Source organism: Homo sapiens, chromosome 1 (assembly GCF_000001405.40).
Source record: "Homo sapiens chromosome 1, GRCh38.p14 Primary Assembly".
NCBI lineage: Eukaryota > Metazoa > Chordata > Mammalia > Primates > Hominidae > Homo > Homo sapiens.
In genome coordinates, this window is record NC_000001.11 from 180,767,230 (window position 1) to 180,782,671 (window position 15,442).

At 35.9% G+C, this 15,442-nt stretch overlaps 1 protein-coding gene across 4 annotated transcripts in view, besides 1 other annotated feature; it reads left to right on the forward strand.

The window, feature by feature from the left end:
- XPR1 (xenotropic and polytropic retrovirus receptor 1) overlaps window positions 1-15,442 on the forward strand; it is a 258,258-nt gene that overhangs the window by 135,208 nt on the left and 107,608 nt on the right. The gene's annotated exons all lie outside the window — the stretch shown is intronic.
- Window positions 14,651-14,851: a silencer, noted in NCBI's record as "peak488 fragment used in MPRA reporter construct". NCBI's record gives its function as "represses an SCP1 promoter by STARR-seq MPRAs in K562 erythroleukemia cells {active_cell/tissue: K562}" and the evidence as "EXISTENCE:reporter gene assay evidence [ECO:0000049][PMID:32103011]".

The following is a 15,442-nucleotide window of genomic DNA, read 5'->3' on the forward strand; positions in this document are numbered from 1 at the left end:
CAGAAGAGTTTTAATAATGAGTAAAAGCTCCCACTCACTCCCTTCAAAATAAAACCATTATAGTAGGAAGCTGAGTTTAGATATCATAGGCATAACTGTTAGAAAATAATTGAAATTTTGTTCATTAGAATAGTAACAGGAATTAATTGCTGTTTTCAAGCGAGAATAAACTGTTGAAGGATGGATCTGTTCAGTCATTTTGATAGTGTAGGAATTTTTAAAATACATAAACTGGTGATCCTTAGTGCATTCTCTTTTCTTGCAGGATTCCTATAGCATGGGTAAAATAGTTTATTCTAACATTGTCTAAAGTAGCAAAAAAAAGTAAATTTTAAATAATATGAAATGGAATAAACTCTAGAACATGTAGGTGAAAGAACATTATGAAGCTGTTAAAATTATGATTTTAAAGAGTATATAATCTGGGAAAGTATACCTCACAAAATATTACATAAAAGGATATTTTACACACAGATTATTACCCTGATTCTGTACAGTACGTACACATGCATATGTATTAATAGAAAAAATACGCCAGTATAGTGGCTGAGATTGTCATGAGGATTAGGAGCACTGATGTTTTTATATAATGAAGGTTTATTACTCTTATCACAAGAAACTTTTTTTTTTTTTGAGACGGAGTCTTGCTCTGTTGCCCAGGCTGGAGTGCAGTGGCGCAATCTCGGCTCACTGCAAGCTCCACCTCCCGGGTTCACACCGTTCTCCTGCCTCAGCCTCCCGAGTAGCTGGGACTACAGGCGCCCGCCACCATTCCTGGCTAATTTTTTGTATTTTTAGTAAAGACACGGTTTCACTGTGTTAGCCAGGATGGTCTCAATCTCCTGACCTCGTGATCCACCCGCCTCGGCCTCCCAACGTGCTGGGATTACAGGCATGAGCCACCGTGCCCGGCCCACAAGAAACTTTTTAAACAAATTTTCAGTTAAACTGAATGAGTAGAGGTTTGACCTAAAACTAAGATTTACTATAGAGTTTTTTTTTTTTAGTTTGAGTGCTGTGTCAATTCTAGAGACTACATATTATGTCCTGTTCATATCTTTCTAGGAGGATTTGCTTCATTCATAGACGATTTATAGGTTTCTGAACTTTATGTACCAAAAATAAATGGTCAGAATTGATGCTTCTGTAGGAGACCCTCAAGTCCCATAATGGCATTTATTTCTATTATAATCTTTTGGGGAATGCCACGTGAGTGGCATTTAGATTGAAAACATGAGTACAATTAGATTTATGTAATTCTCTGTGACTGTGAGAAGGATTTTTGTGAGGAGGATTTTGTACAATGAAATGATAATAATCAGCCCTTGCATTCTGCAGGATTTAGGAATGCCACCCTTTACCAAAGTTAAGTAGAAAATATTAAGTGTAGGGCTAGTGAGTCTGAGGAGCACATAAGCACCTGAAGAGAATTTCATTTATGCTAAGAAGTTTACTCCTTTGCATTTAGCTGTAAATTGTATAATAAAGTTGCCTAACTAAGGTTTTACTATCTCAACTCCCCTAAACACATGTTGTGTTTTACCTGGTAACAGATATCCTAAATGTAGGTAGAAATTAATTCACCTCCATGTACTACTTTAGGTTATAGAAATGCTTATTGGGTTCTTTCATTGCAAGCAACTGAAGTTGGATGACAAAGTAAAATGGGCATTTATTGAAGGATGTTATGGTGGCACATAGAATTGAAAGAACAGAATATTCAGATCAATTCAAAAGAAAAAAGTAGGTCAACTTTGGTGCTCCCAGCAGTGCAATGCATGAACTTATTTGTGGAAGAATGTTTCTCAAATTGTCTGCAGCAAAAAAAAATCTATATCTGTTTTTTTTTAACTCAATATTTTTTCGTTTTTTAAAACATACATTTTTAATTTTTGTGGGCATGTAGTAGGTGTATATAGTTATAGGGTACATGAGATGCTTTCATACAGGGATGCAATGCATAGTAGTCACATCATGGAGAATGAGGTATCCATCCCTTCAAGCATTTATCCTGTGTGTTACAAACAATCCAATTATACTCTTTTAAGTTATTTTTAAATGTACCATTAAATTATTATTGACTATAGTTACCATGTTTTGCTATCAAATAGTAGGTCTTATTCATTATTTCTGTTTTTTTGTGTTTTTTTTTTTTGTATCAGTTAACCATCCCCACCACCCCCTAACCTCCCCCACTACCCTTCCCAGCCTCTGGTAACCATCCTTTCTCTCTCTCTCTCTCTCTCTCTCTCTCAGTTCATCTGTGTCCATTTTTAGATCCCACAAATAAGTGAGAACCTGCAATGTTTGTGTTTCTGTGCCTGGCTTATTTTGTGTAACATAATGATCTCCAGTTCCATCCATGTTGTTGCAAATGACAGGATCATATTCTTTTTTATAGCTAAATAGTACTCCATTGTGTATACGTACCACATTTTCTTCATTCATCTGTCAATGGACATTTAGGTTGTTTCCAAGTCTTGGCTATTGTGAACGGCTGCAACAAACATGGGAGTGCAGATATCTCTTCGATATGCTAATTTCCTTTCTTTTGGGTATACCCAGCAGTGGGATTGCTGGGTCATGTGGTAACTCTACTTTTAATTTTTTGAGGAACCTCCAAACTGTTCTCCGTAGTGGTTGTACTAATTTACTTTCCCATCAACAGTGTATGAGGGTTCCCTGTTCTCCACATCCTTGCCAGCATTTGTTATTGCCTGTCTTTTGGATATAAGCCCTTTTAACTGGGGTGAGTCTGTATTTTTTCTCTTAAATAATTATTTTGGTTTTGAGCTTATTACTGTGTTTATACATAAATACTGGTTAATTTTGATAGTTTCATTATTTCATTAGTCAGCATATCTCTGTAGTTGTCTTTGACATAGCCTTTTGCTTCAGTGCTCAGCTACCTTCCTGTATTTTGTTTTATGTTTTTGTCTTCTGAAAATTTCCCTTTCTTTCAGTTACATGTTTAAAGAGATGATGTTTTAGTTTGGGCTTCTACAGCAGATTACCATAGATAGGTTGGCTTAAACAGCAGACAGTTATTTTTCATGGTTCTGGAGTCTGGAAGTGTAAGATCAGAGTGCCAGCATGGTTGGTTCTGGTGAGGGCTTCCTTCCTGATTATGTCCTCACATGCCATTTCCTTGATTTGTGCATGTGGAGAGAGATCTCATGTGTTTTTCTCTTTTTAATTTAATCATAAGGGCTCTATCCCCACGGCCTCATCCAAACCTAAATAACTCCTAAAGGCCCCACCTCCAAATCTCATCATATTGGGGATTAAGTCTTCAAGATATGAAGGGAGGCTGGGGAGACACACAGTCATTTAGTCTGCAGCAGATGGTTTTTAAATTTTATCCAACATTTTTAGATGTTTTGTGCTATGAAGGTTGCTCAGAGTATCTAATTTACTTTGTTTCCAGAAATGAAAGTCTCAGTCTCTTCAACCTCAACTAAAAATAACTTTGTTTAAAAATGCACCAGATTATTTTACTCCCCTGCTTACTATCTTTTAAAGTGTTACATGGCCCCTTCATCTGGCGGTCCCTCTCTCTTCAGCCTCATTTTACATTACTTTCTCTTTCATTTGGTATTGTTAATCACTGTTGGTTTTCTTTCCCAAGTCAACCTTGCTCTCAACTCCCGCTTATTATTATTTTTCCTGCCTCACATCCCTCAGCTCCTTCTTTATATCTCAACTGAAGTGTTTCAGAGACTTTCTGGATCTTTTTATAATGGGTTAGTGCCTGTCGATGTGCTCCCCTAGCATTCTGTGCCTTCCTATTTATTACATACATTGATTGTTCTTCTAATTACTTCTTTACGTCTGTTTTCTCTCAAAGCACAGGGAATGTGTTTGCCTCCTTCATCACTATATCCTTAGTTAATAAATAGCATGGTGCCTGGCATATAGTAGACACTTTAAAAATATTTGCTGTTGAATATATAACATTGATATTTAAGATTCATTATTACCCTATCGTATGAATTAAGTAGCTCAGGTAGTGGTATTACAATTAAGTCATTCTCTTGATTAAGTTTGAATTGGTTTTTTTTTTAATTTGTCTTTAGGCCCTAGACATTTTGAATTAATCTGATTTTGTATGAAATAATTTTAAACTTACAGAAAAGTTGCAAGAATATTACAGAAGAGTTCATATATACTCTTTACCCAGCTTTCCTTAATGTTAAAACGTACTCAATCGTAGTGCAATTACCAGAACTAGGAGATTAACATGTTGGTATAGTATTACTGACTCAACTACAGACCTTACTCAAGTTTTACCAGGTTTTTTTCTTCATGTCCTTCTTGGTGCCAGGAACCAATTCAGGATCTCACGTTGCATTTGGTTGTTGTGACTCTTCAGTATCCTTCACTCTGTGACACTTCCTTAGTCATGACTTTAACACTTTGATGCGTATTGTGCTTTGATAATTGATTTGTACAATATCTAAGTTTATTTCTGCCTGATGTTTTCTCATTTTTGGATTCAGGTTGTGCCTTTTTGTCAAGAATACCAGAGAAGTGATGTTGTGTCCTTCATAGTGCATTTTTTTCAGGGGGTACCTGTAGTTGCTATGTCTTATTTTATTGGTAGTATTAACCTTGATTACTTGTTTAAAGTGGTGTCTGCCAAGTTTCTCCATGGTAAAGTTACTGTTTCTCCCTTTGGATTGATAAATATCTTCTTGTTCCTCAAACTTTGACCCATTGATTTCTATTATCTATGGATGGATCTTGCTCGCAAGGGTTACTACTGTGGTATTTGCCTAGTGGTAATTCTATATTTTTCTCATTTCTTCTACATTTATTAATTAGAATTATTCTATAAGGAAGAGCTGTTCTTTCTCACACATTTATTCAGTTATTTATTTATTCATATCAACATGGGCCTTTGAATATGTGCTTTATTCTATGGATTATAATCTAGTACTGTTACTGTCATTTATTTTATTGCTTTGGTCATTGGGAGCTTCTTCAAGTTGGAAGAATTTATGTCATTTTGATCTGCCACCATTCTTTTGGGAAAGTTTCTTATTTTCTGGTATCTTAAGGTATTCCAGGCTCACCTTGTATTTTCCCTGACCCAGCCCTGGAAATCAACTTCGTCTCCTAAGACCCCTGACTCCTTTTATTTGGAGAATGTTATTTAGGAACCAAGATCTGAGTGCTAGACTTATTGTTACTAGACTATTATTGCTGCTAGACTCTACCAGCAGAGGAGCTAAGAAATATGTGTGTGTGTGTGTCTGTCTGTCTGTCTTTGTGTATGAACTTTGTATACACACTGATAAGGTTTGGCTCTGTGTTCCCACTCAAATCTCATCTTGTATCTCCCATAAATCCCACTTGTTATGGAAGGGACCAAGTGGGAGATGATTGAATCTTGAGGGCAGGTCTTTCCCATGCTCTTCTCATGATAGTGAATGGGTCTCATGAGATTTGATGGTTTTAAAAAACAGAGTTTTTCTGCACAACCGCTCTTTGCCTGCTGGCATCCGCGTAAGATGTGACTTGCTCCTCCTTGCCTTTCACCATGATTGTGAGGCCTCCTCAGCCATGTGGAACTGTAAATCCAATAAACCTCTTTCTTTTGTAAATTGCCCAGTCTTGGGTATGTCTTTATCAGCATCATGAAAACTGACTAATACATACACATATCTGTATTTCTATATCTATTTGCATATATATTAACAACCATGAGTTCACACTGTTAACCTCTGATTTTACTCTATCACTCTATCATACAAATTTTATTGTAGCTCCCCAGGGTACAGTTCCCCAGTACCCTTTCTCCTATTCTGTACTTGAAATTTACCTGATATTCCTTGTATCAAGAGATAGAGACTAGTAAATAGTCAATCATTTAATGTGTTGAATATGCTCAGGGTTATGTTGGTCAGTAATGTCTCTGAAAAGGGTTATTTAAGAGGGTGGCAGATGACTAGGGAGAAAATGTGACTATGAATGTTGGGATTTGGGAAAAGAGATGGTTTGGGGATACTTGGGGAAAAAAAATGTTCAGACGGGAGAACAAACATCATGTATTAAGGTCCAGAGATAAGGAAAGTATGGCTGCTCCCAGGAACTGAAAATTGCTCAGGATAGCTATATAGGTTGAGATATCAGATGAATTAAAGCTGAAGAGAAGTAGCACTGACTCTTGTAAGACTTTATAAACTATGTTGCAGGGTATGAACAGTATCCTAAGAACAACAGAGAGTTACTATTTTAAGCTAAATAATTATATTCCCTTTCCTTTCACAATGGAAAACCATTTTTAGCATAACTCTTTGTTATTAGACTTAAAATGTAAAATTGTACTCATACTTATTTGTATCTCATATAATGCTACAAAGGTTTTGACATAACATTTTCTTTGAAGGAGAGTCCCAAGGAAAGGAATTTAGTCATTCTTATGAGTCAGTGAATGTGTGTCATTGAAATACTCAGGATTACTTTCTCCCTTTTCTAAGATGGCATGTTTTCTTTTCCTTTTTCCCTCCATGTTTTGCTTTAAGAGCAATGCAGCTATAAAGTATGCTTCAGTTGCTTAGATGATAAATTTGTCTATATGTAATTAAGAGCCAAAACTGTGATTTTACATTAGAAATTAGTTAAGGTTTATTAATCGAATAGAATGTGTTCTGTTTTCCTCAAGAAAATAGAGATTTTACCACTTGTCCAGATCTTCTATTTAAATATATAATCACTAAACTTTTTTTAAAAATTGCATTTTCATAGTCAGTTGTTTCCTTAATTTCATTGTTTTATATACATTTGCTTTGTTCTGTCATCTTTCTCAGTATGATTCTGTGATGTATTTTATCAATTTTCTTTTAGTCATTGGAAGAGTGTCTTTATCAGACAAACAAGTGGCTGCATTTCTGGTCTAATTTGAAGAATACTGAAATGTCCCAGAATATAGAGGAAGAGAGAAGTATATAAAACCCTGGCTTTGAGGGAATTTGAGCTAAGAACTTAATTTTCTTTATTTGGTTATGTTGCTGTGAAATCAGAATAAAAGAGAATATTGCAGGAATTTTGCAACAAAGATGTAGTTTATGGATGTTAAAGAATTAACAAAGGATAACCCATATCTGGATTTTTTAATACTTTTTTTAAAAAAAGAAATCTGTCTTTCCTATCTTTTTTTTTTTTTTTTTTTTTTTGAGATGGAAGTCTTGGTCTGTCGCCCAGGCTGGAGTGCAGTGGCGTGATCTCGGCTCACTGCAAGCTCCGCCTCCCGGGTTCATGCCATTCTCCTGCCTCAGCCTCCCTAGTAGCTGGGACTACAGGCACCCGCCACCATGCCCAGCTAATTTTTTTGTTTGTTTGTTTTTTTGTATATTTAGTAGAGATGGGGTTTCACCGTGTTAGCCAGGGTAGTCTCAATCTCCTGACCTCGTGATCTGCCTGCCTCGGCCGCCCAAAGTGCTGGGATTACAGGTGTCAGCCACCACGTCTGGCCTGTCTTTCCTATCTTTTTATATCTGACCAATATTGATGTTCATCATAAATGTGTTTTCTCTTTAGCTATATGTCTTAGTCCATCCTTTCTGCTATAACAAAATACTTTAGTCTGGGTAATATATAAATAATAGAAATTTATTTCTCATAGTTCTGGAGGCTGGGAAGTCCAGGATCAAGGCACCAACAGACGTAGTGCCTGATAAAGGCTTGCCTTCTGCTTCCAAGATGGCATCTTGTTGTTGTGTCCTCTGGAGGGGTCCAACACTATGTCCTTACATGGCAGAAAGGATGAAAGGGACTAGGGAGATTTCTTCAGCCTCTTTTATAACGTCACTAATCCCATTCACCTAAACACCTCTTAAAGCCCCACCTCTAAATACTATGGCATGGGTGATTAAGCTTTATCATGAATTTGGGGGGACACATTCAAACCACAACATTACATATATGCTTGGCAGTTTGGAGAGAAATGAGATGGTTACCTGCCTATCATTCTTTGAAAGCTTTTTCCCTGGAGTAAGTCACCAGAGTAGTTAAGACTCTTATGGTTCATTGTTTTACTCATCTTTGCAACAGTGAGACTGAGCAGTCAGGGCCGAGCACCATGGCTCCCACCTGTAATCCCAGCACTTTGGGAGGCTGAGGCAGGGGGATCCCTTGAGCCCAGGAGTTTTGAGACCAGACTGGGCAACAAAGCAAGACCCTGTCTCTATATAAAAATGAAAAAAAATTGAAAAAAAGACTGAGAATTCAGTTAAGTTAATAATAGTATTCATCTTGGATTATCCTCAGATATCTTTTGTTTGCTTTGTTTATTGTAACTTCAGTCTTAATAATAATTTTGATCTGTTGCTTTGCAAGAGTGAAAAAGAACTAGGATTACTAATAGTTTAGTTAAAAGTGGATCTAACTAGATAGATTTACTTAACAAAATGACTTTAAATAATGGTATACTTTGTGGTATATAAAGTGATTAATTAGCTAACAGAATTAGAAAATAAAAGGCCTTCAGTTAAAAATACCTAATTCTCTTGAAACTGTCATCTGTATACAAAGTAGTATTTTGTCATATTTGTTAAATGGAGAAGAGTGCTGGAAAAAAAAATCCCCTTTTTATTGTCCTTTAAGAGAATTCATTTCCAGATTTATATCCAGATATATGTGGATATATTCATTTACATATGTACTAATTCCTGAAATTGATTGGTCTGAATAATTAGTCTACAGTCAAGAAGTCCTCTTTCAAATTGCCTTTCCTTGACTTTATAAAAGAAAGGCTTGTCTCTTACGCAATCTAAATTTTGCTGTGATACGTTGTTGCCATTTTGGATCCCAAACAAAGGAATTCTCTGAAATACTCAAATACTCATTGTAGGTATTAAGAAAGTGAGTAACAGGGTAACAAATCCTTTGCAAGTCCAGTTTTTTGTTTTCACTGAAACTGAAAGAAGACTTAATTGTAAGCTTATTTATCATTAAAATTAATTTTCAATAATCACCATGTGGCTTTTGGAAAATACATAGGCATTCAAAGATTGACATTGCTGCAACAAACTTTCATTCTGATCTACTTATTTATGTTAACAATATTTCTTAACATTTATGTCTATAAGATGAAACCAAATACATAAAGTAGTTATTGAATTAATTCAAGTAGTTATTGAATTATTATGGCATTTAATTTCCATTATAATTTTGGAAATTGTATAATTGTATAATTATACAATTGGATTGTATAATGGAATAATTGTATAATGGAAATTATACAATTTCCATTATACAATTAAAACAAAGTCCTTGTATTTTAAAATGTAAATGATTGCAGGGTACCAGAAATTACATTGTTTATAATTATTTAAATGTGTTCAAAATCAGTTATCATGACTTAACAATTGCAAGATAGTTATTCAAAATTATTTTAGAAGTTACAAGGGCAAAAATCATTTGAAAACCACTGTTACATTCCTCCCACTTTACTAATGAATTATGCCCTTGTTTGAATTATTTATTGATATTTCATTTATTGTTGTTCTTTACCTAGCAGACATTAGGTAAATACTCATTGGGATAATAAATAGCTTGGATTGTATTGTATCTAGTGCCAGTGAGATTGATTTTTTTCTCAATTACATGTCACTGTTATAAGTGAAAAGACTTTTTTGTGTGTGTTCTACCAAGAATATTTTAAACACATTTAGTTAAACCTCACCTGATAAAACCTTAAGATAGACTCAGATCAGAAAATCTTGTGTAGGGACTACTTAAGCCTAGTTATATTCAGAATCATTTTGCAGAAATTAGCAGTTTTAGTTAGAAATTTGCAATTAGGAAAAGACTTAGAGATTACCTATTCAAATGCCCTTATTTTTCAAAGTGAAAACAGGCCTAGAGTGTTACTTGCTCAAGCTAATATAGGTAGTTGGCAACAGAACCATATCTAGTCTGCACTAAAACCTACTGATTTTACCTCCAGAATATCTTTTGAATTTTTTCACTTCTCTGTCTCCAGTGCCCTCACCCTAGTTGAGGCTATTGTGATCTCTCCCGTGGTATCTACTGTACTACGTCTCACTGGTCTCCCGACAACCTTATTTAGAAAGCATATTTGATCATACTATTCTCTCTGCTTAAAATCCTTCAAAAATGTCTCATTGGTCTCAGGAAGAAGGCTAGTCCTTTATTCTACCCTTTGTATATTTGTGAGATTATTTGATTAAAGTTTTTTTCCTCAGATAGACTGTAGACTGTAATGTCAAAGGGCAGAATTTATGTTTATTTTGCTTATCGCTGTATCCCTACCCCTGCCACATTGCCTGGTACATAGGAGGGACTTGGTACTTGTTGAATGAATGACTCCTGATTTAGCTCTATTTCTACTACACCAGTGATTTTAGAGTAACATTTTTTATCTTTGAAATCTTTGCCATATGCTTTATATAATTCATCTACCCATCTGTTGATGTAATAGCATCTGGAAAAAAAGAATTTCAAGTTAGTTATTCTCAGTTTATAAATCACACTCTTAAAAAAACACACACCTTTTTTTGGTACAAGCATGAAACAGTAGTGCTAAATATTCTTTCTATATTTGATGGAGCATGGTCATATATTTAATTTTTATTTATCTGCTCTCATAAGCAGGAGAAACTAAGAAATCATAGAAACTATTGTGTAGGGAATATAATTAAAATGCAAAGAGGTAGTGGTGATAGTAAAGTTAGTGCCTCTCAAACTGGTGTTCCACAGAATACTGTTTCAGGAGATCTTGTTTTTTTATTTTAATTTTATTTTTTGAGACAGGGTCTTAGTCTGTCACTCAGGCTAGAGTATAACGTGATTACAGCTCACTGCAGCCTTCATCTCCCAGGCTAAAGCCATCCTCCCACCTCAGCCTCCCAAGTAGCTGGGACCACAGGTGCACGCTACCACACCCAGCTAATTTTTAAAAAAATTTTTTTAGAGACTGGGTCTCCCTAAGTTGTCCAGACTGGTCTCCAACTCCTGGGCTCAAGCAGTTCTCCCACCTCGGCCTCCCAAAGCACTGGGATTACAGGCATGAGCCACCACACCTGACCTATTCCTGCAGATTTTAATAGGTATTCTACAACCCTTTCCTCATCTTTCTGCTGTCATATCCCCTTTACACCAAGGACTATATTCTTATAAATAACTTTGGGAAACACAATGTATTAGTTCCACTTCTCATAGAATAACAGTGTATATTAGCATAGTAAAGCTCCTTTTGCCTTAAAGCAGAGTTTCTCAGCCTTGATACTGTTGACATTTTGGACCGGATAAGTCTGTGTTTGGAGCAGGTAGTGGGAAGGATTGCTGTCCTGGAAATTGTAGAATATTTAGCAGCATCCTTGACCCCTACCCATTAGACTCTAGTAACACTAACATACTCGTGGTTGTCCAGCTGTGACAACCACAAGTATCTCCAGATATTGCCAAATGTCCCTTTGTCCCCTGAAAGACAACCCACCTAAGAGTGAGAACTACTACCTTAAAAAAAATCAGTTTGATCGTGCTTTATACTCATAATTCCCAGATTTATTTGAGGATAGAATATTTCTCCTCCTCCTTCATTTGCACACCTAATTTCCTGGGAATTGCTATTTTAAAATTATCATTTAATAAAACAGAAACTAATTCTCCTATTTAGGCTTCCCCCTAAAACTCATCAATATTTTCCATGGCACTTAGAATAGAGTTCAAACTTCATAACATGGGCTTTGTGCGTGAAAGGGCCTTTACCTGCCTCCCTGACCTCACCTCCTATCACCACCTGGTGGCAGTAACATTGTGAGCTGCTTTCAGTTCTTTAGGCATCTCAGTTTCTTTTCTAACATGCTGTTCCCTCTGTTGGGAATTATTTTATCCTTGTTCTTTCTTATCCTTTAGGTTCAGTCTTAGATTAAATGTCATCTCTTAAAAAGAGATCTTTTCTGATCATTTCTTACTCTGCCAGAAAGGATAGCCATCCATCCCAGTTCTTACACTCTATCTCATCACCCTATTTGTTGTCTTCATTCACTTTTTATAGTCTATAATTCTTTGTTTACTTGTGTAGATTTCTTTCTGTCTCAGTCACTAGAATGTAAACTGTGTGAGGGCAGGACCTACATTTATCTCATTCATCATATCCCTAGCATTTAATAGAGAGCCTGGCATCTAATAGGTACAATTATTATTTGTTGAATAAATACATATTATTAATATAATTCACATATAAAATTCACTCTTTTAAAGTGTATAATTCAAGGCTGGGCATGGTGGTTCATACCTGTAATCCCAGCATTTTGGGAGGCTGAGGCAGGTAGATCACCTGAGGTCAGGAGTTAGAGACCAGCCTGGCCAACATGGTGAAACATCATCTCTAGTAGAAATACAAAAATTGGGTGTGGTGGTGGGCACCTATAATCCCAGCTACTCAGGAGGCTGAGGCAGGAGAATCACTTGAACCCGGGAGGCAGAAAGGAAAGAAAAGAGGGGGAGGGGGAGAGGGAGAGGGAGAGGGAAAAAAAGGAAGATATAATTCATAGGTTTCTAATATATTCACAAGTTTGTGCAGCCATCACCACTATCTAATTCAAGAACATTTTCATCCCTCCCCGCTCCTCCTACCCCCAGCCCCTGCCTGCCAACCACCACTCTACTTTCTGTCTCTATGGATTTGCATATTCTGGACATTTCATATAAATGGATTCGTACAACATGTGATCTTAACTATCTGGCTTCTCTCTTAGCATAATATTTTCAGAGTTCATCCATGTTGTAGCATGGAACAGTACATTATTCTTTTCTGTGGCTGAATTATATTCAATTGTATGGATATGCTACATTTTGTTTATCCATTTATCCATTGGGTTGTTTCTACTTTTTGATATTATAAATAATGCTGCTCTGAACATTCATATATGAGTTTTTCTGTGAACATATGTTTTTACTTCTCTTGGGTATGTACCTAGAAGTAGAATTGTTGAATCATATGGTAATCTATTTTTAACTTTTTGAGGAACTACCGAACTGTTTTCCCAAGTGGCTACATCATTTAACATTCCTACCAGTGATATATGAGGGTTCTAATTTCTGCATATTCTTACCAACACTTGTTATTGCCTTTTTAAATTATAGCTATTCTAGTGGGTATGAAATGGTATCTCATTGTCTTTTGATTTGCATTTCACTAATGACTGATGTGTTGAAATATTTTCATGTACTTATTGGTCATTTGTGTGTCTTCTTTGGAGAAATGTCTATTCAGATTCTTTGTCCATTTTTAAAAATTTGGTTATATGTCTTATTGTTGAGTTAGAGGAGTCTTTTTGACATATTTTCTAAAAGAGATGCAAGAGTTCCATCCTGGCTAACATGGTGAAACCCCATCTCTACTAAAAATACAAAAAATTAGCCAGGCTTGGTGGTGGGCACCTGTAGTCCCAACTACTGGGGAGGCTGAGGCAGGAGAATGGCGTGAACCTGGGAGGCGGAGCTTGCAGTGAGCAGAGATCGTGCCACTGCACTCCAACCTGGGCAACAGAGCAAGACTCTGTCTCAAAAAAAAAAAAAAAGAGATGCAAGAGTTGAAAGTCCTTTTGTATTCTGGATACTAAACCCTTGTCAGATAGTCCTGATATGGGTTTGCAAATGTTTTCTCCCATTGTGTTTGTCTTTTTACTTTTTTGATAGTGCCCTTTTAAGCAGAAAAGTTTTTAATTTTGATAAAGTTCAATCTATCAATTTTTTTATTTGTTGCTTATGTGTTTGGTGTCATATCTAAGAAACCATTGCCCCATCTGAGGTCAGGAAGATTTATACTTGTGTTTTCTTCTAAGAGCTCATGTAGTTTTAGCTCTTACATTTAGGTCTTTGATCACTTTTGACTTAATTTTTGTATCCGTGTGGGAGTCTAACTTCATTCTTTTGCATGTGACTATCCAATTGTTGGAGTGTTGTTTTTTTTTTACTTTAATAAAGTATCATATTTTTCACAAAATATGAACATTGTTTCAACATTTACAATTTTAAAAATAGTGTGTGGAGCACATACTGTGTACCAGACATTATGTTGGGTATGTCGTCTATACAGATTTAAAAAAAGACATAATCCCCATCCTCCATGTCTCACAGATCTGGAAATTAAGAAAATTGAGAATAGTAATGAAAATTTGAATGGAACATTAAAGATATTTGATGGTGTTGATAGTGGTTTTAAATAAATGGTTTTTGAGAAGATTGGCCTTTTATGTATTTAACCCAAAGATTGCATGAAAAAGCTTGATGACATTATTAGTATAAAAATAAAAATATTCCTGAATGTTGCTGTAAAAAGCACTTGATGGTGGCTGCTATGCAATAGGAGTATTTTACCTTGATTGGTACTCTTTTTTTTTTTTTAAACACCCCTGGTTTTATTTTCCCTTCACTCCAATTTTCTCACTTGTTTGCTTTTTTTTAAAATTTTATTATTATTATACTTTAACTTTTAGGGTACATGTGTACAACGTGCAGACTTGTTACATATGTATACATGTGCCATGTTGGTGTGCTGCACCCATTAACTCGTCATTTAGCATTAGGTATATCTCCTAAGAATCATTTTCTTTTTGAGACAGTCTCTGATGCCCAGGCTGGAGTGCGGTGGCACGAACTCGGCTCACTGCAAACTCTGCCTCCTAGGTTCAAGCGAAGAATCATTTTCTATTAACAGTAATTTGCGGGGTGGATGAGAAAGCAATTGTCTGTCATCCACAAATGCAAGGTGGAGATAAGACAATTATAGAGATGACAAAGAAATCAGTCTCTCTTTCTCTCTCTCTCAGTGTAACTGTGTGTCTCTATTTTAGTATAACTCACTGATTTAATATTTATTTAACTCAGAGCAAAGGAATCTCTAAGACAGTGTTCTCAAAGTCATTCTTTACCTGTTTTTTATTTTTTTTCTCTCGTTTGACTTCCTTTTTTCTGTTACTGCTAATCTTACAATTGTTGATATATCTTTCTAAGATTTGTACTTATTTATGCTTGCTCTCTCTGAACTAGGCTTAGTCTTTTGTGACTAATTATTGAATTCAGGACATATTTAGCCCATTGTATTAGTCTACTCAGACTGCCATAGCAGAATACTACAGACTGGGTGCTTTAAACAACAGAAATTTGTTTTCTCGTATTTCTGGAGGCTTGAAAGTCCATGATCAAGATTCAGGCAGAATTCGTTTCTAGTAAGGCCTCTTTTCTTCTTTGCAAGCATTTCCCCAAACATGGCCTATCCTCTGTGTGTGATTGGAGTGAGGGAGGCAGAGAGAGAAAGAGACAGAGAGAGAGAAAGAGAGAGAACATACGTGTGTGTTGGGCGGGGGCAGTGGGGGAATCTCTGGTGTCTCTTTTTTTATAGGAACATTAGTTTTGTGGGATTAAGGCTCCATTAGCCTTAAGTCCTCATTTAACCTTAGTTGCCTCT